General features: G+C 44.4%; 1 annotated feature.

The window, feature by feature from the left end:
- Positions 9739-10239: an enhancer, noted in NCBI's record as "H3K27ac hESC enhancer chr7:22883323-22883823 (GRCh37/hg19 assembly coordinates)". NCBI's record gives its function as "activates a minimal SCP1, AML or CMV promoter by ChIP-STARR-seq in naive H9 embryonic stem cells {active_cell/tissue: H9 hESC(naive)}" and the evidence as "EXISTENCE:reporter gene assay evidence [ECO:0000049][PMID:30033119]".

Genomic DNA, 19260 nt, shown 5'->3' on the forward strand with positions numbered 1-19260 from the left:
TCAGAAAAAAGACAGAGAGTCAAACACTTTAGGTGGAACAGAAAGCTCCAGTCAGGAAATAATGAGATCGAATTATAAAAAGAACCAAAATGTCAAGCTAAGAAATTTGGAACTGATCCAGAGAGTAGCTGGAAAGCTGCTGAATATTTTAAAGGGAAAAAAATTACAAAGTGAAAGCAGTTTTGGATTTGATTTTTTCAGTTTTCTTTATTTTGCTGAAAGGAAATAAGTTCACATAGTCTAAATTGAAAAAGTACAATAAATAGTGAAAGGTCTCCCTCCCACTTCGGTCCCCTGCTGCCTATTTTTCTCCCTGGAGGCAAACCAATGTTAGCAGCTTCTTATATATTCTTCCAGAGATAACTATGCCCATGGAAATAAAGACGCACATAAATTTTTCCCTCCTCCTTTGTAAATGAGATGCGTAGACACTTATTTACCTTGCATTTTTCACTCCAAAATCTAACTTACAGATTATTTTGCATGAATACATAAAAAAGGTCCTCGTTCACTTTTTTAAATTATGCTATGAAAATTCAACATTCACTCTTTTTTAAATAGATGCATTGGTACAAAAGAATATACAGGCGAAATTGTCTCTAACTCTTCTGCAACTTGCTGCGCTGTTCTCCCTGGAGGCGGTGTCTAGTTTCTTATATATCCCTCCAGAGATATTCTAGGCATATGGAAATAAATACACACACATCCTTCCCCTCTCTTTTAAAATAAACAAATCGGATGCAAACTATACACTCAATGTAACACCTGTCCTTTTTATTTAAAAATATTTTTAGAAACCCAAATAAAGTCTTTATTTGAATTAATAGTATTGCACCATGTTAATTTCCTGGCTTTGACAATGTATCATGATTATGTATAATGTTATCAACTGGGGAAACAGAGTGAAGGACACACAAGAACTCTCTGTACTATTTTAGGAACTTCCTGTGAGTCTTGAAGTATATGTCAAAATAAAAAGTATTATAAATATTTCTTGGTGATTATTCCATATCAACACATAGCTTCCTTTTTTTTATAGATGCACAGTACTGTCACACCTTTAATAAATAATTTTTAAAATTTATCCTCTAAGAAGGCAAACTATTTCAGATTTTCTTAGCACTGAAAATTGATGACAGTGTCCATCACTGTATGTCCCATCTCTGACTCCATAGTTAAGAGTTGTCTGTGGACCCAATTATGTAACCACAATAAAAATTCTAACAAGAGAGCAGTGGCCAGGGAATCAGGGGCACCCAGTTCTCCTCCTAGTCCAGCTGCTTGCTACTTGTTTGACATTGAGCATATCACTTAGCCTTCTAGTCTTGGTTCCCTCACCTGTGACACTGGGATTAACCACCTGGTTACTTCCCAATTAGGTTGAGTGTTCAATGAGATGATACCTGTAACAGTTGTTTATTTGAGTTGAATCCACTGTGGAAATAAAAAATCTGGCAAGTATGATTTTCACCTAGAGGCTGTATCATAATCCTGTGTGTGCAATCATAGAAGTCATAGGATTTATCTCATGACAGATTCTATCTCAGTTTAAGGAGCATCAAAAAGAGCTGCACCCTAGTCCATATTATTTTTGTTTTACAAATAATATGGCTTTCTGGGCCCTTCTGTTTTCTAATCCAGTCACTAATGACTATCAGAAGGTATGCCACACAGTAATAATGGTAAATAAAATACTTGCATTTGGTAGCCATTCTGCCTCAAAAGGATAATAACAATAGTAATAATAATGAACCCATCCAACAAGTTGACCCCTTTGTGGTAGTACATTTAGTAGGAAAATCATTTTGCTGGACACATCAAGAAGCAATTTTAGGCCTGTAATCCCAACACTTTGGGAGCTGAGGCGGGCAGATTACCTGAGGTCAGGAGTTCAAGACCAGGCTAACTAACATGATGAAACCCTGTCTCTACTAAAAATACGAAAATGACCTGGGCATGGTAACGCATGCCTGTAATCCCAGCTACTCGGGAGGCTGGGGCAGGAGAATCACTTGAACCCAGGAGGCAGAGGCTGCAGTGAGCAGAGATCATGCCACTGCACTCCAGCCTGGGTGACAAACGGAGATTTCATCTCAAAAAAAAAAAAAAAAAAGGCTGGGCGCTAAGGGTGGGCAGATCACCTGAGGTCAGGAGTTCAAGACCAGCCTGACCAACATGAAGAAACCCGTCTCTATTAAAAATACAGCCGGGCGCAGTGGCTCACGCCTGTAATCCCAGCACTTTGGAAGGCCGAGGCGGGTGGATCACAAGGTCAGGAGATCGAGACCACAGTGAAACCCCGTCTCTACTAAAAATACAAAAAAAATTAGCCAGGCGTGGTGGCGGGCGCCTGTAGTCCCAGCTACTCGGGAGGCTGAGGCAGGAGAATGTCATGAACCCGGGAGGCAGAGCTTGCAGTGAGCTGAGATCGTGCCACTGCACTCCAGCCTGGGAGACAGAGCGAGACTCCATCTCGAAAAAAAAAAAAAAATTAGCTGGATGTGGTGGTGCATGCCTGTAATATCAGCTACTTGGGAGGCTGAGGCAGGAGAATCGCTTGAACCCAGGAGGCAGAGGTTGTGGTGAGCTGAGATTGTGCCATTGTACTCCAGCCTGGGCAACAAGAGAGAAACTCCATCTCAAAAAAAAGTAACTTTGTAATTTCACTTCAGCCTCTTACTGGTTGCTTTCCACAATCAGATGCTTGCATAGGGTGTAACCTTTGTAACTTCACTTCAGTCTCTGGTTGCTCTGATTGCGGGCCACTACTTCATTTACATAGGGTATACACCAAGTAACCAATGGGAAACCTCTAGAGGGTATTTAACCCAGAAAATTCTGTAAAGGGGCTCTTGGGCCCCTATGCTCAGTCCCATTCCAATCCTGTGGAGTGTACTTCAGTTTTTCAATAAGTCTCTGCTTTTGTTGCTTTGTTCTTTCCTTGCTTTGTTTGTGCATTTTGTCCAATTCTTTGTTCAAAACACCAAGAACCTGGGAACCCTCCACTGGTAACAGTAGTTAGTTCCTGGAAGCACTATGTGGCCACAGTGCCAGGTTCTGCAGATAAATTATTTAAGAGGAGTACTGAGAACAAAGCCACTGCTTTTGGAAATTAGGAAGTCACAAGTCACAATACTGTAAGACAATTTTGTGGGATTTAAGATATAAAACCAGATCTCCAGGGACTAAGTAGGTGGAGGGTGAAAAAGCAACGCAGTAAGCTCTTTTCTTTATTTCTTCCCCTACCCAGCTGTCTTGTATGTGACTACAGTCAGGTGGAGACATCTGCTTTGCTTCCAACAGAAGCAGAATTATTATCACTGAAACAAAAAGAAGTGGAAACAGTCCATTTCAGCTTTTAAAAAATTTTTCATAAGTGGTTTATGAATTAAAATATGAGGCCCGGGGAGGAAGTCGGGAGCAGGGCACAGAGCTAACACCAAAGGACTGGAGCCTGGGATAGGAAAGAAGAGAAAGAGGTGACCGCATCCCCTGCTCCTAGGAGACCTAGGGAAGGGATGAGGGAGGGGCAGAAGGAGGTCAGAGATGGTGCCAGGAATGCAGGCCATGCACATCAAAGGGCCTGCTGAGAAGCATCAGCCTGTGGGGTTCATGCCAAGAAGTCACGTTCCCACCTTCCTTATGACCCCAAAACTCGCCACCCAGGCTCCCACTTCGGGGTTTTTGCATTTTCTTTCTTTTTTTTTTTTTTTTTTCTGAGACAGAGTCTCACTGTGTCACCCAGGCTGGAGTGCAGTGGCATGATCTTGGCTCACTGCAACCTCCGCCTCCCAGGTTCAAGCGATTCTCCTGCCTCAGTCTCCCAAGTAGCTGGGACTATAGGCGCATGCCACCACACCCGGCTAATTTTTTATTTTTAGTAGACAGGCAGTTTCACCATGTTGGCCAGGCGGGTGTTGAACTCCTGACCTCAGGTGATCCACCAGCCTTGGCCTCCCAAAGTGCTGGGATTACAGGCATGAGCCACCATGCCCAGCCGGGGCTTTTGCATTTTCATTCCCTCTGCCTGGAATGTTCTTCCCATGGCTCAGCCCCTCATCTCCTTCAGGTCTCTTCATAAATATCAGCCTCTCAGAGGGGCCTCCCCAACCACCCTGTGTAAAATAAGACCTCTTTTCCCAATTGCTCTCAGTTTTATTTTCCTGGTTTTATTGACCTTTCCAACACCTACAATACACATCAAGGGGTACGTTGCCACCTGAGTTCCTATCTCTAACAAAACATAACAAAATATAAGCATTAACAAAAATATAAAATGTTTTGCAATGTCACTTGTACATTTCTCTCTATTCTAAGGAATTTTGCATGCTTACTGCAGGGTAACAGTTCTACTGGAAGGTAGAAGTTCCCCTCTCAGGGCCTCAAATGAAGAAAGAAAAGTTGAAATTGGGTATTATCACAGACAGGAACTTTCATTTTAAAAGAGAAAGTCGAGTCACCTTGTCCTTTGGGACGCAGTGGCCAGGTCACATACGCAGAGCTTCCCCACAGAAGCCCCTGCTAAAACTAGGTCAGATTGGATCAGGGATTCTCCACCATTCAGACTTTTAAAACAAAAGCAACATCCCAAGGGGAGGGCTTAGAAGCCACTGTAGTTAACATCTTATTAAATAACCACCATTCTATTTTTAATAGAAATATCACATAGTAGCAAGCATGCATAATTCCTCAGAAGAGAAAAATATATTTTAAAAATTGTCTCCAGGCACAGTGGTGCACACCTGTAGCCCCAGCTACTCAGGAGGCTGAGATGGGAGGATCACTTAAGCCTAGGACTTTGAGGATGTAGTAAGCTATCGATTGTACCATGACACTCCAGCCTGCCTAACAGTGAGACCCCGTTTCTAAAAAAATTAAAATTTAAAATTGCAGAAATATGTATATATCTTTCTCCCAGAGAGGATTTCTCTCTCGTCACCTTATAAAAAGAAACAAGTATACTAGCCAGGCATAGTGGCAGGCACCTGTAATCCCAGCTACTTGGGAGGCTGAAGCAGGAGAATCACTTGAATCCGAGAGGTGGAGATTGCAGTGAGCCAAGATCATGCCACTGCACTCCAGCCTGGACAACAGAGAGAGACTCTGCCTCAAAAAAAAAAAAAAAAAAAAAAATAGAACCAAGTAATGAATAATAAAAGGTCTGGCAAGGAGAAGAGGGACTTTCCTCTCTGGCCAGATAGACCTAAACACCAAGTCAACATTCGCAGAGCAGTGTACGCCACTGGGAGTACTTGTGTGGAAGATTGATTTAATCATTTCTTTGCTATGGGGGAAGGGTTTTCTGTCAATGGGGGCTTGCACGGTGCCTGTGAATTGTCCAGCAAAAGGAAACGCAGCCACGCCCCAAGACTGCTGAGCCCTTTCAAATTGTCATATATGAGCTCATCTTTGGGTACCCCCGCATCCCTGAACACTAAGGGCCTTAGTGCCCAAAGGGATGGAGCCCTAACACTTTACTTGGGTGGGGTTAAACAATAGTCAATCCCTCTCCTGCTACATGCCCAACTCACTTCTTTGCCCTGGGGGCTGATTATAACCCTCTATATTCAAACTAAGTAGCCAAATCTTGAATTCAAGTTTTTTGTTTTGTTTTGTTTTTTGCTTTTTTTTTTTTTTTTTTTGAGACAGAGTCCGGCTCTGTCGCCCAGGTGGGAATACAGTGGCACAATCTCGGCTCACTGCAACCTCCACCTCCTGGGTTCAAGCAATTCTCCTGCCTCAGCCTCCCAAGTAACTGGGATTACAGGTGTGTGCCACCACACCTGACTAATTTTGTACTTTTAGTAGAGACAGGTTTTCATCATGTTGGCCAGACTGGTCTGGAACTCCTGACCTCAAGTGATGCACCTGCCTCAGCCTTCCAAAGTGCTGGGATTACAGTCATGAGCCACCGCACCTGGCCAGGTCTTGAATCTAATCCTGCAAGGGGGGTGCTGTGCTGAGGCAGAGAGAGGAAAGTCAGTAGAAGAAAGATGGAGGAGAGGCCATACCAAAATTCAAACTCAGAGCGATTGCTTTGAATTCAGAGACTCTTATCAAAGGGGGAAGCTCATCTCCATGAACAGTGACTCCTGCCACTAGTGGGATGACCTGGGACATAATTGGGGAGATAAATTAGAATGAAAGCCTCCAGCTAGTAGCAGCCGCTAGCGTGGCAGGAGGGGACAGTGATGAGCACCACAGTGCGGTGGGGAGAGCTAGCACAGGACAGCTCTCTCTCAAACCATACAGAATATGGGGAACTGGCTGCTTTTAAGCAGTGAGAGCTGCTCATTATCATCTGCCTTCCCTCACTGCACACACACACACGCACACGCACACGCACACGCACAGCAAGACTTCTTTAAGTCCTTCCCTCCAGCAATAGAAGATGTACCCCTCGGGCCGTGCATGGTAGCTCACAACTGTAATCCCAGCATTTTGGGAGGCCAAGGCAGGTGGATCACCTGAGGTCGGGAGTTCGAGACCAGCCTGACCAACATGGAGAAACCTCATCTCTACTAAAAATACAAAATCAGCTGGGTGTGGTAGTGCATGCCTGTAATCCCAGCTACTTGGGAGGCTGAGGCAGGAGAATCGCTACAACCCGGGAGGTGGACGTTGCGGTGAACCAAGATTGCGCCATTGCACTCCAGCCTGGGCAACAAGAGCGAAATTCCATCTCAAAAAAAAAAAAAAAAAATTACCCCTCGACCGTCCACATGCTGGGTTCTCAGAGCAGGAGAAGGAATTCTTGAGAGGTAACAGAAGGAAAAGGAAGGAACTTCTGAGAGTTAGGAGGTGAGACTTTCCCCAGGACCAGGTCACCCAGCGGGCTTGGTAGTCCTACAGTGGTGTAGTTTCCGGGTAGAAAAAAATCCGTTAAAGCCTAAGACCTAGTTATCACTAGTTTAGGGATAGGACAGCCCTAAGTAGTAGTGAAGAACCTTGAGAGAAACATAAACTTTTACTAGAGGGAGTGTGAAAGGGTTGTCATCTTTTTTGAAAGACTGTGTTTTTCTTTTTGTTGTTGTTGTTTCTCAATACACTCATTTATTTATTCACCCAACCAATACAGTAGTTATTAAGTGCCTGCTATGTGTTAGGCATTGCTTAAAGACTAGAAAATATAACAATAAAAAAGATAAAGTTTCTGCTTCTGTGGACTTTGTATTCTAATGGCGGATAATAGTAACAATAAGCAGTCAACCATAATACCAGCAGCAAATACTTACATGGTGCTTCCCATGAGCCAGCCCCTTTCCTAAACTCTTTCTACACATTACCTCATTTTATCTTTATCACAACCTATACAGCAGGTACTGCTATTATCCTTATTTTACAAATAAGGACATTAAGGCATAGGCAAGCTAAGCAACCTGTTCAAGTATACAGAGTTAAAAAGTAACAGAATGGGGATTTGAATCCAGGAAGTTAAATTTTAGAGTTCATGTATTTGACTAATATAGATACATATAGATATAGATACGTATTGGTGTAGATAGGGGGGTGGAGGGAGAAAGACATGGGGAGAGAGAGAGATAAGGAAATAACTCCCCCACCGTTCTAGAGGATAGAAGACCTCTAAACAGAAATGATAATCTTCAAAGGCACTTAAGTTTTATTAGCAGAAGCTAATTGAGAGACAAATAGATGGAGAAAGATAATTGCAATAAAGAAAGCAGGGTAAAGCGATAGAAAGTAATGGAGGGGGCCAGTGCGGTGGCTCATGCCTGTAATCCCAGCACTTTGGGAGGCCAAGATGGGTGGATCACGAGGTCAGGAGATCGAGACCATCATGGCTAACACGGTGAAACCCCGTCTCCACTAAAAAAAAAATACAAAAAATTAGCCGGGCGTGGTGGCGGGCGCCTGTAGTCCCAGCTACTCGGGAGGCTGAGGCAGGAGAATGGCGTGAACCCGGGAGGCGGAGCTTGCAGTGAGCCGATATCGTGCCACTGCACGCCAGCCTGGGCGACAGAGCGAGACTACGTCTTAAAAAAAAAAAAAAAAAAAAAAAAAAGATAGAGTGACCAAAGCAGGCAACATTGACTGGAGTTGTCCAGGGCAGATTCCCAAGGCTTGCCCAACCCAAGAGCGTGTGATCACATCTCAGGTTTCAGCAGCAAACTCCAGAGACGACGTAAGACTGGGAACAGTTGCATCTCAGCGGTCACTGTCCTGAGGGCAGTTCAGACCCCAGCAGAGGCCAGTGAGGATGTGCATCAACCCCGTAACCCTGTTTCCCTTCCCCTGCCGTAAGCACCTCCCTCCCCCCGCCACACACATACACCAGATGCCATCTGGAGAGGCAAAGGGAAGGGGAGCAGAAACCCGAAAGACTAAGTCTGTTACAAAAATAGACTGAACATTTACCTCAAACGCCTGTTTAAATTATTGAATCTGAATAAATTACTTGACTGGACTAAAGTGTGAGACCTGCAAGGCACCTCAAGCCCTATCCAGCAGAACATGGGCTCAACAGGAAGCGCAGACCAGCAACAGAAAAATACAGAGTAACTCTGTTCTCAAGCCAGCATTTGTGACGCTGCTGCCCCAACTTGAAGACTACATTTGGCAAGGAGAGGAGAAAGGACACAGGATGGAAGCAAAAGGAACCTAAACAGGCCCTGTTGCTTTTCTGGAAGGCAGGAAGTCATGTTCACACAGATGCTTAGGAATGTCACGGGTTAGGAACTGAATACACATTGTGTACTTCTCTGGAAAGAATAAAAGGATTATTCATTTTTCATTATAATTTCTCTAAAGCAAAAAGCATGATTTAGGAGTAGCCATTTGTGGCATTGCCGCATTCAATTACCCAGCACAGATCTGGATGGGCCTGGCAGCTATTTCCAGGCTCCCACACCACATGTGGGTCATAAATATGCGTTAATCAAAAAGGACAAAGCAATCAAGTGGCTTTACGTCATTTATTACCATTTCTGTGAGGGTCAATTGTTAGTAACTGCCTGCATGTGGCTCAGGCAGCCTGGGCTTTATATGCAGAAATTAAGCAGTCACAATTCCTACCCTCTTGAAATTTAAACTTGGCAATGTTGATTTGAACAATTACGTAAAAAAAAAAAGGAACCAAACAAAGCTTCACCTGCAATTATTCTCCCACACGCCCACTCCGAGATCCAGCCACAGGGAAGCTCTTTCTCATGTCCACTCAGAAATTCTGTACAAGCTGTTCTCACTACCTGGAACTCCATCCAGATTATAGTAGACACTTGGAATGTGGTGCTGGCTTATACTCTTCCAGGAACTGAAAAGTGCGGGCCTTTTCCTGTAAAACAGGGATAGGCCCACACTGTTGGACACCTAGCCAATTGTTATTACTCCATGGCATCTTTTCTACAAAAGTACTCTGTTTTTATTTAGAGTGGTAATGTGCCTAGCGTGGTGTTGTTGTTGTTGTTGTTGTTGTTGTTGTTTTGAGACTGAGTTTCGCTCTTGTTGCCCAGACTGGAATGCTCACTGCAACATCCGTCTCCCGGGTTCAAGCAATTCTCCTGCCTCAGCCTCCCAAGTAGCAAGGATTACAGGTATGCGCCACCACGCCCAGCTAATTTTTGTATTTTTGGTAGAGACGGGGTTTCATCATCATGTTGGCCAGGCTGGTCTCGAACTCCTGACCTCAGGTGATCCGCCTGCCTCAGCCTCCCAAAGTGCTGAAATTACAGTTGTGAGCCACTGTACCCGGCGTTGTTTTTTTTTTTTTAATGTGTTTCTCAGTATCATTTTCAGCTAGAGGAGGGCATGTAACACAGTTCTGGCCAATGAGATGTAAAGGGAATCACCAAGTAGGGCTTCTAGGAAAAAACAGTTTTTAAAAGGGCTACCTCAGTTGACATTCACCTTTGCCCTTTGCCCTTCACCCTTCTTGGTCTTCTTGAGAATGCAGATGAGAATGCAGGATGTGTGACCGCGAGGAGTTAATTAGAAGGGCTAAAGCTATATTTTAAGGATGGCTGAACAGAAAGAAAGATCCTGGGTCCCTTTGAACCAGTTCTGAACTGTTGTGTGAGGAAAATGAGATCTCTATTTGGTTAAGCCCCTGTAGTCAGATTTTTATTATGTGTAGCCAAATGCAATCCTTAATTGGTTCTAGGAATGACAGAAGTGAGACTATATAAATTAGGTGGCCACTGTGGCTGGTGCTCACTTTTTGACAGTGCTTTCTTCCTCTTGGGCACCTGTAGTTGTCTGCAGAATTTGGAGCAATGGTAGCACAGTGGAATTTTCTCCAGTTCAATCGTGGGCACTTAACCATTAAGTGGGGGCCTAAGATGCACCAGACGCAGTGCTAGGTGCTGTGAGTACAAGCCTCTGCCCTCATGGCACTGATGTTCTATTCAGGGAAGAGGAAAAAAAACAAACATGCAAACAAGAAAAGGAAGTTAGGGCACTGTGAAGAGAAAAACAGATTAGGGAGGACAGGCATGCTGGGTGAGATGAGGGGAGTTGGCACTTTATACGAGGCAGTTCTAACGTGGTGTCTTAGTGGACTTGGGCTGTTATAACAGAGGACCACAGACTGGGGGCTTACATAACAGAAACTCACTCTCTCACAGTTCTGAAAGCTCCAAGTCCAAGATCAAGGTACCAGCAGGGATGGTTGCTGGTGAGGACTCTCTTCCTGGAGTATGGGCAGCTGCCTTCTCGCAGTGCCTCACATGGTCTTTCCTCTGTTCATGTGTGCCGGGGAGAGAGAAGGGCCTCTGGTATCTCTTCCTCTTCTTATAAGGACACCAGTCCTGTTGGATTAGGGCCCCTCTCTCAAAACCTCATCTAACCTCCCAAAAGGCCGAATCTCTAAATACTGTCTAGTCAGTCACATGGAGGGTTAGGGCTTCAACCTATGCATTTTGGGGGAACACAATTCAGCCATAATAGGTGGCTTATGACTGGAGACCTCAAGGAAGAGACAGTGCAGGCCAAAATGAAACCTGGGGGAAGAGCATTCTGGGCAGAGGAACAGCAAGTGCTAAGGCCCAGAGGCAGGCATGTTTGCTACATTCAAAATACAGCAAGGAGGCCAGTGTACATGGAGCAAATGTGAAAAGGACAGAGTGTCAGGAAGTAGGACAGACAGCAGATGGAGGCCACATCATGTACAGCCATGTAAGCCGCTGAAAGGACTTTGACTTTACACTGAAAGAAATGAGAGGCCACTCAAGAATTCTAGGCAGAGAAATAACATGATCACACTTACGTTTTAAGAGTTCACTCTTTTGTGTGGAGAATAACCTGCAGGTGCAAAGATGGAAGGAAAGTACCATAGAGAGCTGTTAAAATCATCAGGAAGGGTGACCATGGAAACTTGGACTAGGGTGGTTGAGAAGTGGTCAGAGTTGGGGTTTAGAGGTAGAGCTGGGATTGCTGCAATGGACAGATGTAAGGTGTAAGAGCAGGAGGGGAGTCTGGGATGCTGCCCAGGTTTCTGCCACAGGCATCTGAAGAATGAAATAGCTATTTACTTCAGTGGGGTTACTGGTGGCAAGATCAGTTTTTGAGGGCGAAAAATCAAGAATTCAGTTTTGGATAAGTTAATTCTGAGATGCCTTTTAGAAACCTAAGTGCAAATGTTGAGTGGGCAGTTGGAGAGATGAGTCTGCAAGTCAGGAAATAGTCTAGGCCTGTGACAGAAATGTAAGATTCATCAAATAAAAATGTCATTTCACACCGTATGACTAAACGAAGCCATCACCTAGACAGGAGTGGATCAAGGAGAGCAGAGATCTGAGGACTGAGCCCTGGAGAGCTCTGCAGTAAAAGGCGGGCAAAATGAAAAGGATCCAGTCACAGAGGCAGAAAAGAGGCAGGCTGGAGGCTGGATAAAGACAGAGAAGGTGTGGTGACCTGGAAGCCAAATGAAGAGTGTCTCAAGGAGAGAGTGATCACACAACTGAGATGAAGGTTCACTAAGGCAAAGACCAAAATCACTGCTGCCCTCAAAAAGAGCTGTTTTTATGGAGTGGTGGACTGGTGTATTACTTAGCTACTGCTGTGTAACAAGCTACCCCAACCTAACAGCTGAAAGCAATAAACATTCACTATCTCCCAGCTTCTGTTGGTCAGAAATCTGGGTATGGCTTGGCTCATGGTCTTCCACAAGGGTAGGATCCTCACGTTGGCTGGGGTGAGAATGGTCTCAAGCCCGACAGGAAGGATCTGCTTCCAAGTTTGCTCATCTGGCTTTTGGCAGGGCTCAGATCCCTGCTGGCTGCTGGCCTGGGACACCTATTCCATGCCAAGTAGGTCTCCCCATAGGGCAGCTCAAAACAGGGCAACTTGCTTCCCCTAGAGCAGTGGTACCCAAACTTTTTTTGCACCAGGGACCAGTTTCTTGGAAGGCAATTTTTCCACAGACCCGTGGGGGCTTGGGGGGTGGGTGGGGAGGTAGTGATGAAACTGTCCCACTTCAGATCATTAGGCATTAGATTATCGTAAGGAGTGTGCAACCTAGATCCCTCACATGTGCAGTTCATCACAGGGTTAGCACTTCTATGAAAATCAAATGCCACAGCTGATCTGACAGGAGGCAGAGCTCAGGTGGTAATGCTCACTCACCCATCGTTCGCCTCCTGCTGTGCTGCCCGGTTCCTGACAGGCCTCGGACTGATACCAGTCTGCAGCCTGGGGGTTGGGGACCCCTGTCCTAGAGCAAATAATCTACAAGAGAAAGAGGCAGCTTACAGTGGAAGCTATAGTCTTTTGCAACCTAATCTTGGAAGTGACATCACGTCACCTTTTTTTTTTTTTTTGAGACAGGGTCTTGCTCTATTGTCCAGGGTGGAGTACGGTACTATAATCACAGCTCACTGCAACCTCCAGCTCCTGGCTCAAGTGATCCTCCTGCCTCAGCCTCCTGAGTAGCTAAGACTACAGGTGTGTACCACCACACCTGGCTAATTTTCTAATTTTTTGTAGAGTTAAGGTCTCACTCTGTTGCCCAGGCTGGTCTTGAACTCCTGGCCTCAAGCAATCCTACTGCCTCAGCCTCTCAAAGCACTGGGATTACAGGTGTGAGACATCACACCCAGCCCACATCACTTTTTTTAAAAAGACTACAGTTTTTAGAGCAGTTTTAGGCTCACAGCAAAATTGAGCAGAAAATGGAGAGTTCCCACATGCCCTCATCCCTCCTCCCCACAGCCTCCCCTACCATGATATCCCACACCAGCATGGTGCGTTTGTTACAGGTGGTGAAACATTGACACATCACTGATAACCCAAATCCATAGTCTACATCAGGGTTCACTCTGTGTTACACATTCTACAGGTTTTCACAACTATATAATGACATGTATCTACCCTTATAGTGTCATACAGAACAGTTTTACTGCTCTAAAAATTCTCTCTTCAGCTGGTGTGGTGGTTTGCACCTTTAATCTCAGCTACTTGAGAGGTTGAGGTAGGAGGATCCTTGAGCCCAGGAGTCTGAGGCTGTGTGAGCTATGATCTCATCACTGCACTACGGCCTCAGTGATAGGACAAGACCTCATCTCTAAAAATAAAATTAAAAAAAAAAATTCCCCATTCCACTTATTCATCCCTCCCTATCCCCAACCCCTGGCAACTACTGATCTTTTCACTGTCTCCATAGTTTTGCCTTTTCCAAGATGTTAGTTGGAATCATACAATATGTAGCCTTTCCAGATTGGCTTGTTTCACTTAGCAGTGGGCTTTTTTTTTTTTCCTTTGGAGACACAGTTTCACTCTGTCACCCAGGCTGGAGCCCAGGCTGTGCAGTGACACAGTCTTGGCTCACTGCAACCTCCGCCTCCCTGGTTCAAGCTATTCTCGTGCCTCAGCCTCTCTAACTAGCTGGGATTACAGGCATGCACCACCATGCCCGGCTAATTTTGTATTATTAGTAGAGGCAGGGTTTCATCATGTTGGCCAGGCTGGTCTCGAATTCCTGACCTCAAGTGATCCACCCACCTTGGCCACCCAAAGTGCTGGGATTACAGGTGTGAGCCACCGCACCAGACCTTTTTGGAGTTTTTTTTTGGAGACAGGATCTCACTGTGTTGCCCAGGCTGGAATGCAGTGGTGCAATTTTGGTTCACTGTAGCCTCAACCTCCTGGGCTTAAGTGATCCTCCTGTCTCAGTCTCCTAAGTAGGTGGGACCACAGGCACCCACCACCATGCTGGGCTAATTTTTAAATTTTTTATAGAAATAGAGTCTTGCCATGTTGCCTAGGCTGGTCTCGGACTCCTGGGCTAAAGTGATCCTCCTGCCTTGGCCTCCCAAAGTGCTAGTATTACAGGTGTGAGCCACCATACCTGGTAAGTAATAGGCCTTTAAGGCTCCTGCATGTCTTTTTGTGATTTGATAGAGCATTTGTTTTTAGCACTGAATAATATTTCATTGTCTGGATGTACCACAGTTTATTTATCCATTCACCTACTTAAGGACATCTTGGTTGCTTCCAAGTTTTGGCAATTATGAATAAAGCTAATACATTCACGTGCAAGCCTTTGTGTGGACATAAGTTTTCAACTTCTTTGAGTAAATACCAAAGACCACAATTGCTGGATCTTATGGTAAGAGTTTGTTTAGTTTTGTAAGAAACCACCATACTGTCTTCCAAAGTGCCTGTACCATTTTGCATTCCCAGCAATGAATGAGCGTTCCTGTTGCTCCACACCCTCACTTACATTTGTAATGGTCAGTGTTTTGAATTTCAGCCATTCTAGAAGGTATGTAGTGGGATCTGAGTGTTGTTTCAGTTTGCAATTCCCTAATGACTTACAATGCTTAGCATCTTTTCTAAGATGCCACCCCATCACTTCCGGTGTGCAGCCCAGACTCAAGGAGAAGGGATTCTACAAGGGCCTGAATAGCAGGAGATGGGGATTATTAGGAGCCATCTCAGAGGCTGCCCACCACAATTGGATTCAGATGAGAATGGAAGCAAGGCATTAGAGACAAATACAGACAACTCTTTTGAGGAGTTCTGCTATAAGCAGAAACAAAGAAATAAGCAGTTCATTGAGGAAGGATATGGAGTTAAAAATGTTTGTATTTTATTTGTTTTACAGCAAATCTGATCATTCTTATCAATTAAGGTAATATGTTTGATATAGTTAAATATGTAACAATTCTGTTTTATACTCTATTCATGTATTTTCTAGAAGTATCATGAACAACAATGCTCATGTTTGTAAATAACGAAACTGTCGGGATTTTTTTTAACAGGCTATTTTGTACCTATATGAGAATCAGAAACAAAAGGCCATTTTGTACCCACGTGGGGATCAGAGCACTCATATCCCAGGGCTTCCAGGATACTCACGTGTGTACCTTCTAATTGCTGAAATCAGCCACATGGGTTTATTTAAGCAGATGAAACCAATATGCTTCAGCAAGGGCAGACATTTTCTCTTGGCTTGAAAACAAGCCAACAGCTGCTTGGAAAAGGCAAGCTGTTGGGCAGAGACCTGCTCATGGCAAACAGCCCAATGACCCCAGTTAAAATGTCACCCAACTGGAGTGATCCTTTAAATCATAAATAATGTCTGTAGTTGCTTTATATTCTGACTCTACACTGCAACAACACACTAAAATGTGCACTACACACAGACACAAGAGTAAATGAATGGGCCAATTAATTCATGAAAGCAAATGTCTGAGGTTAGTCTGTCGATAACATGTGAGTCTTAGATCCTCCTGGGGATAAGGATCAGGCAATGGTAGGATAGGGGGAGGGTGAAAAATAATGCACTTTCCCTTCCTTCTGCATTCAGAACCAACTCAGACATAAGAAAGAATGGAAATTAAGGTGCTAGCTTTATTACTGTTCAGATTGTGTCTTCAGAGCTGAGACACCCTATTCCCCATCCCAGTCTAGACCTTGGGCCATCATTGCCTTATGCTGGTTTTGGACAGTGAGGGAAGAAAAGGGGAGTGAATCATCATAGCTGCAGCCTTCAAATAGATGTGTTTCTTTTTTGAGAAAGATGAGCCAGTGGATGTCACCTGCCAACATAAGTGACGGCCAAAAATTTAAATTGGGTAAAATGCAGGATTATGTTATTGCAGGGTTAATGAGAGACTTTTTTCTTTTTTCTTTTTTTGAGACAGAATCTCACTCTGTCACCCAGGCTGTGCAGTGGCATGATCTCAGCTCACTGCACCATCCACCTCCTGGGTTCAAGTGATTCTCCTGCCTCAGCCTCTCGAGTAGCTGGAATTACAGGCACCCGCCACCATGCCTGGCTAATTTTTTTTAATTTTTAGTAGAGATGGGGTTTCATCATGTTGGCCAGGCTGGTTTTGAACTCCTCCCCTCATGTGATCCACCTACCTCGACCTCCCAAAGTGCTAAGATTACAGGCGTGAGCCACTGCGCCCAACCAAGAGACACTATTTTTAATACCGTTTTGACCATCAAAAAGCATAAAAGTGGCAGGCCATGCTGGTTCACACATGTAATCTCAGTGTTTTGGGGGGCCAAGGCAGGAAGACTGCTTGAACCCAGGATTCAAGACTAGCCTGGGCAACATAGTGAGACCCCACCTCTACAAAAAAAAAAAAAAAAAAAAATTAGCCAGGCACGGTGGCACACACCTGTAGTCCCAGCTACTTAGAAGGCTTAGGCAGGAGGATTGCTTGAGCCCAGGAGGTCAAGGCTGCAGTGAGCTATGATTCTGCCATTGCACTCCAGCCTGGGCAACAGAGCAAGACCCCACCTCAAGAAAAAAGAAATAAAAAAAGAAAAGCACAAAAGTTAAGGCAGTGACACTTACAATGTCCCCAATTGACTGACTATACACTGAGCTGAGAAAACCCTCAGTGGCTTCCAGGATTATGTTATTGCAGGGTTAATGAGAGATACTTTTTTTTTTTGAGACAGAGTTTCACTCTTGTTGCCCAGGCTGGAGTGCAATGGCGCAATCTCGGCTCACCACAACCTCTGCTTCCCGGGTTCAAGTGATTCTCCTGCCTCAGCCTCCCGAGTAGCTGGCACTACAGGCATATATCACCACGCCCAGCTAATTTTGTATTTTTAGTAGAGATGGGGTTTCTTCATGTTGGTCAGGCTGGTCTCAAACTCCCGACCTCAGATGATCCACCTGCCTCGGCCTCCCAAAGTGCTGGGAGCGACATTATTTTTAATTCCACTTTGACCATCGAAAAAACACAAAAATGGCTGGGTGCAGTTCACCACACCCATTTCCCCTAGTCCCACAGAGGAAATAATAGTCTGCACCTGTCCACCTTGAAAACAGGTGACAGGCAGAGGATGGAAGCCAACAGGACCACCACAGTTTGCATGATTTCAGCATTCATGTTGGCACAGAATTGTATTGAAATTCCTTCCTTCTCTGGAAAGGAATGAGGAAAGAATGAGTAAAAGGCCCGGGGCATTGTCTGGGAGAAGCTCCTCTACAGAAAAGCATGGGACTGGGGGAAAAGGCTCCCCACTAACAGCAGCAAAACAAGCCAGGGAAGTGCACAACGCCTCCCAATGCCCTGGGATTCCTACTCTCCAAGCATAGATGCTCCTTAGCTTATAATGGATTTATGTTCTGATAACCCCACTGTGAGTTCAAAATATGGTAAGTTGAAAGTGCATTTAATACACCTACCTACCGAACATCCCAGTCTACTATTATCCCATTAGCCTAGTCTACTTCACATGTGCTCAGGACACTTACATTACACTACAGTTAGACAAAACAATTGAACACAAAACCTATTTTAGAATAAAGTGTTGAATATCTCATGTAATTTATTGAACACTGTACCGAAAGTGAAAAACAGAATGGTTGTACGGATACTTGAAGCACACTTTCTACTGAGCTACGTATTGCTTTTGCACCATCACAAAGTAAAAAAAAAAAAAAAAAACATAAATCAAACCATTGTAAGTCAGGGAATATCTGTAGTTCACCACATGTGTGAAAGACAAGTCAAATGGACAGCAAGAAAAGGAAATTCAGTAGGTTTTATCAAGCATTTACAATGTGCAAAGCCCTAGGCCAGGTACTGGGAATACAGGAATAAATTCACACTCAAGGTGACCCAAGGAAGCTACCGCCTGGGATAAAACCCCACTACTGCCCCATTATCAGCCTTGAAGAGTTTTATGGTATGAATATTGAACTGCTTTGGGGGAATAATCTCTTCCTCTGATAAGGATATTTAGATAAGGAGTTTTTCCCCTTATCTAAATATATTCTAGGCGTTTACACTGAATTCGGGGGATTCAGTAGAGAAGGAAACAGAGTTCTCATGGAGCCTACATTGCACCATCATGGCAACTCTGCATGACAACACCCTAAGACCAGCTCCACCCACCAGAGAATAATCCTAGATGACCTATTAAAGTCCCCTGCACTCTATTATCCTATGATTTTTCTGTAACTCTCTTGGCCTCTTTGCTTCTTTCCTCTCCTAAATTTCATGCAGCATATGAGTTTCCTGCTGGTCATGCTACACTCATTGTACTAATAGGTACCTCTTCCTTCTGGAAGCCTTTCCTGTAGCCTTAGCAGGCTGGGCTTTGTGGCTTTATGCTGTGCCCTTGGCACTCTTCATGGGCTTCTATCAGTGGGTGAATCTCATTTTATATTCCTCACTTTAGTGCAGGGGCAGTTTCTCATTGAACTTCACACCCTCCAACACCAATCACAGCACCTGGCATAGAATAGGCACTCAATAAGTATTTGCTGCACTGAGCAATCTGTAGGGGCCAACATGGAAAGTTTTCCCTTTGCCCTCTTAAGGTTCACTAAAAAATCAACTTGCAAAAGGCAGATTAATTGGAGAAAAAGCATATAAATGTATTTAATGTGTATACCCGGGATCCTTCAAATGAAGACCCAAAGATACAGGGGAAATTATCCATTTTTATGCCTAGGTTCAACAAAGTATGGGCAGTGACGTAGAAATGTGATCGGACAAAAAGTGTATGATCTAAGACTAATAGAGGGAGAAAACCCAGCAAGGCCTGTCTGTCTGGATTCTTCTTGGCCTCTCTGAGCATGCACTCTTTCCTTCTGGGTATGGGACAGGACTCCCTCTGGAATGGGGGTCTTATGACCTACAGTCAAACAAGGGAAGTCAAATAATGTCTTTATGGCCAGATTTTACACAGAACGGCAGAGGGAAAGTCCCCACAGTCCTTGTATTAATTCCCTAGGGATGCCTTAACAAAGCACTCGGTGACTTAACAGAAATGTTTTGTCTCACATTTCTTGTGACTAGAAGTCCAAAATCAAAGTGTCAGCAGAACCAA

Source organism: Homo sapiens, chromosome 7 (assembly GCF_000001405.40).
Source record: "Homo sapiens chromosome 7, GRCh38.p14 Primary Assembly".
Lineage (NCBI taxonomy): Eukaryota > Metazoa > Chordata > Mammalia > Primates > Hominidae > Homo > Homo sapiens.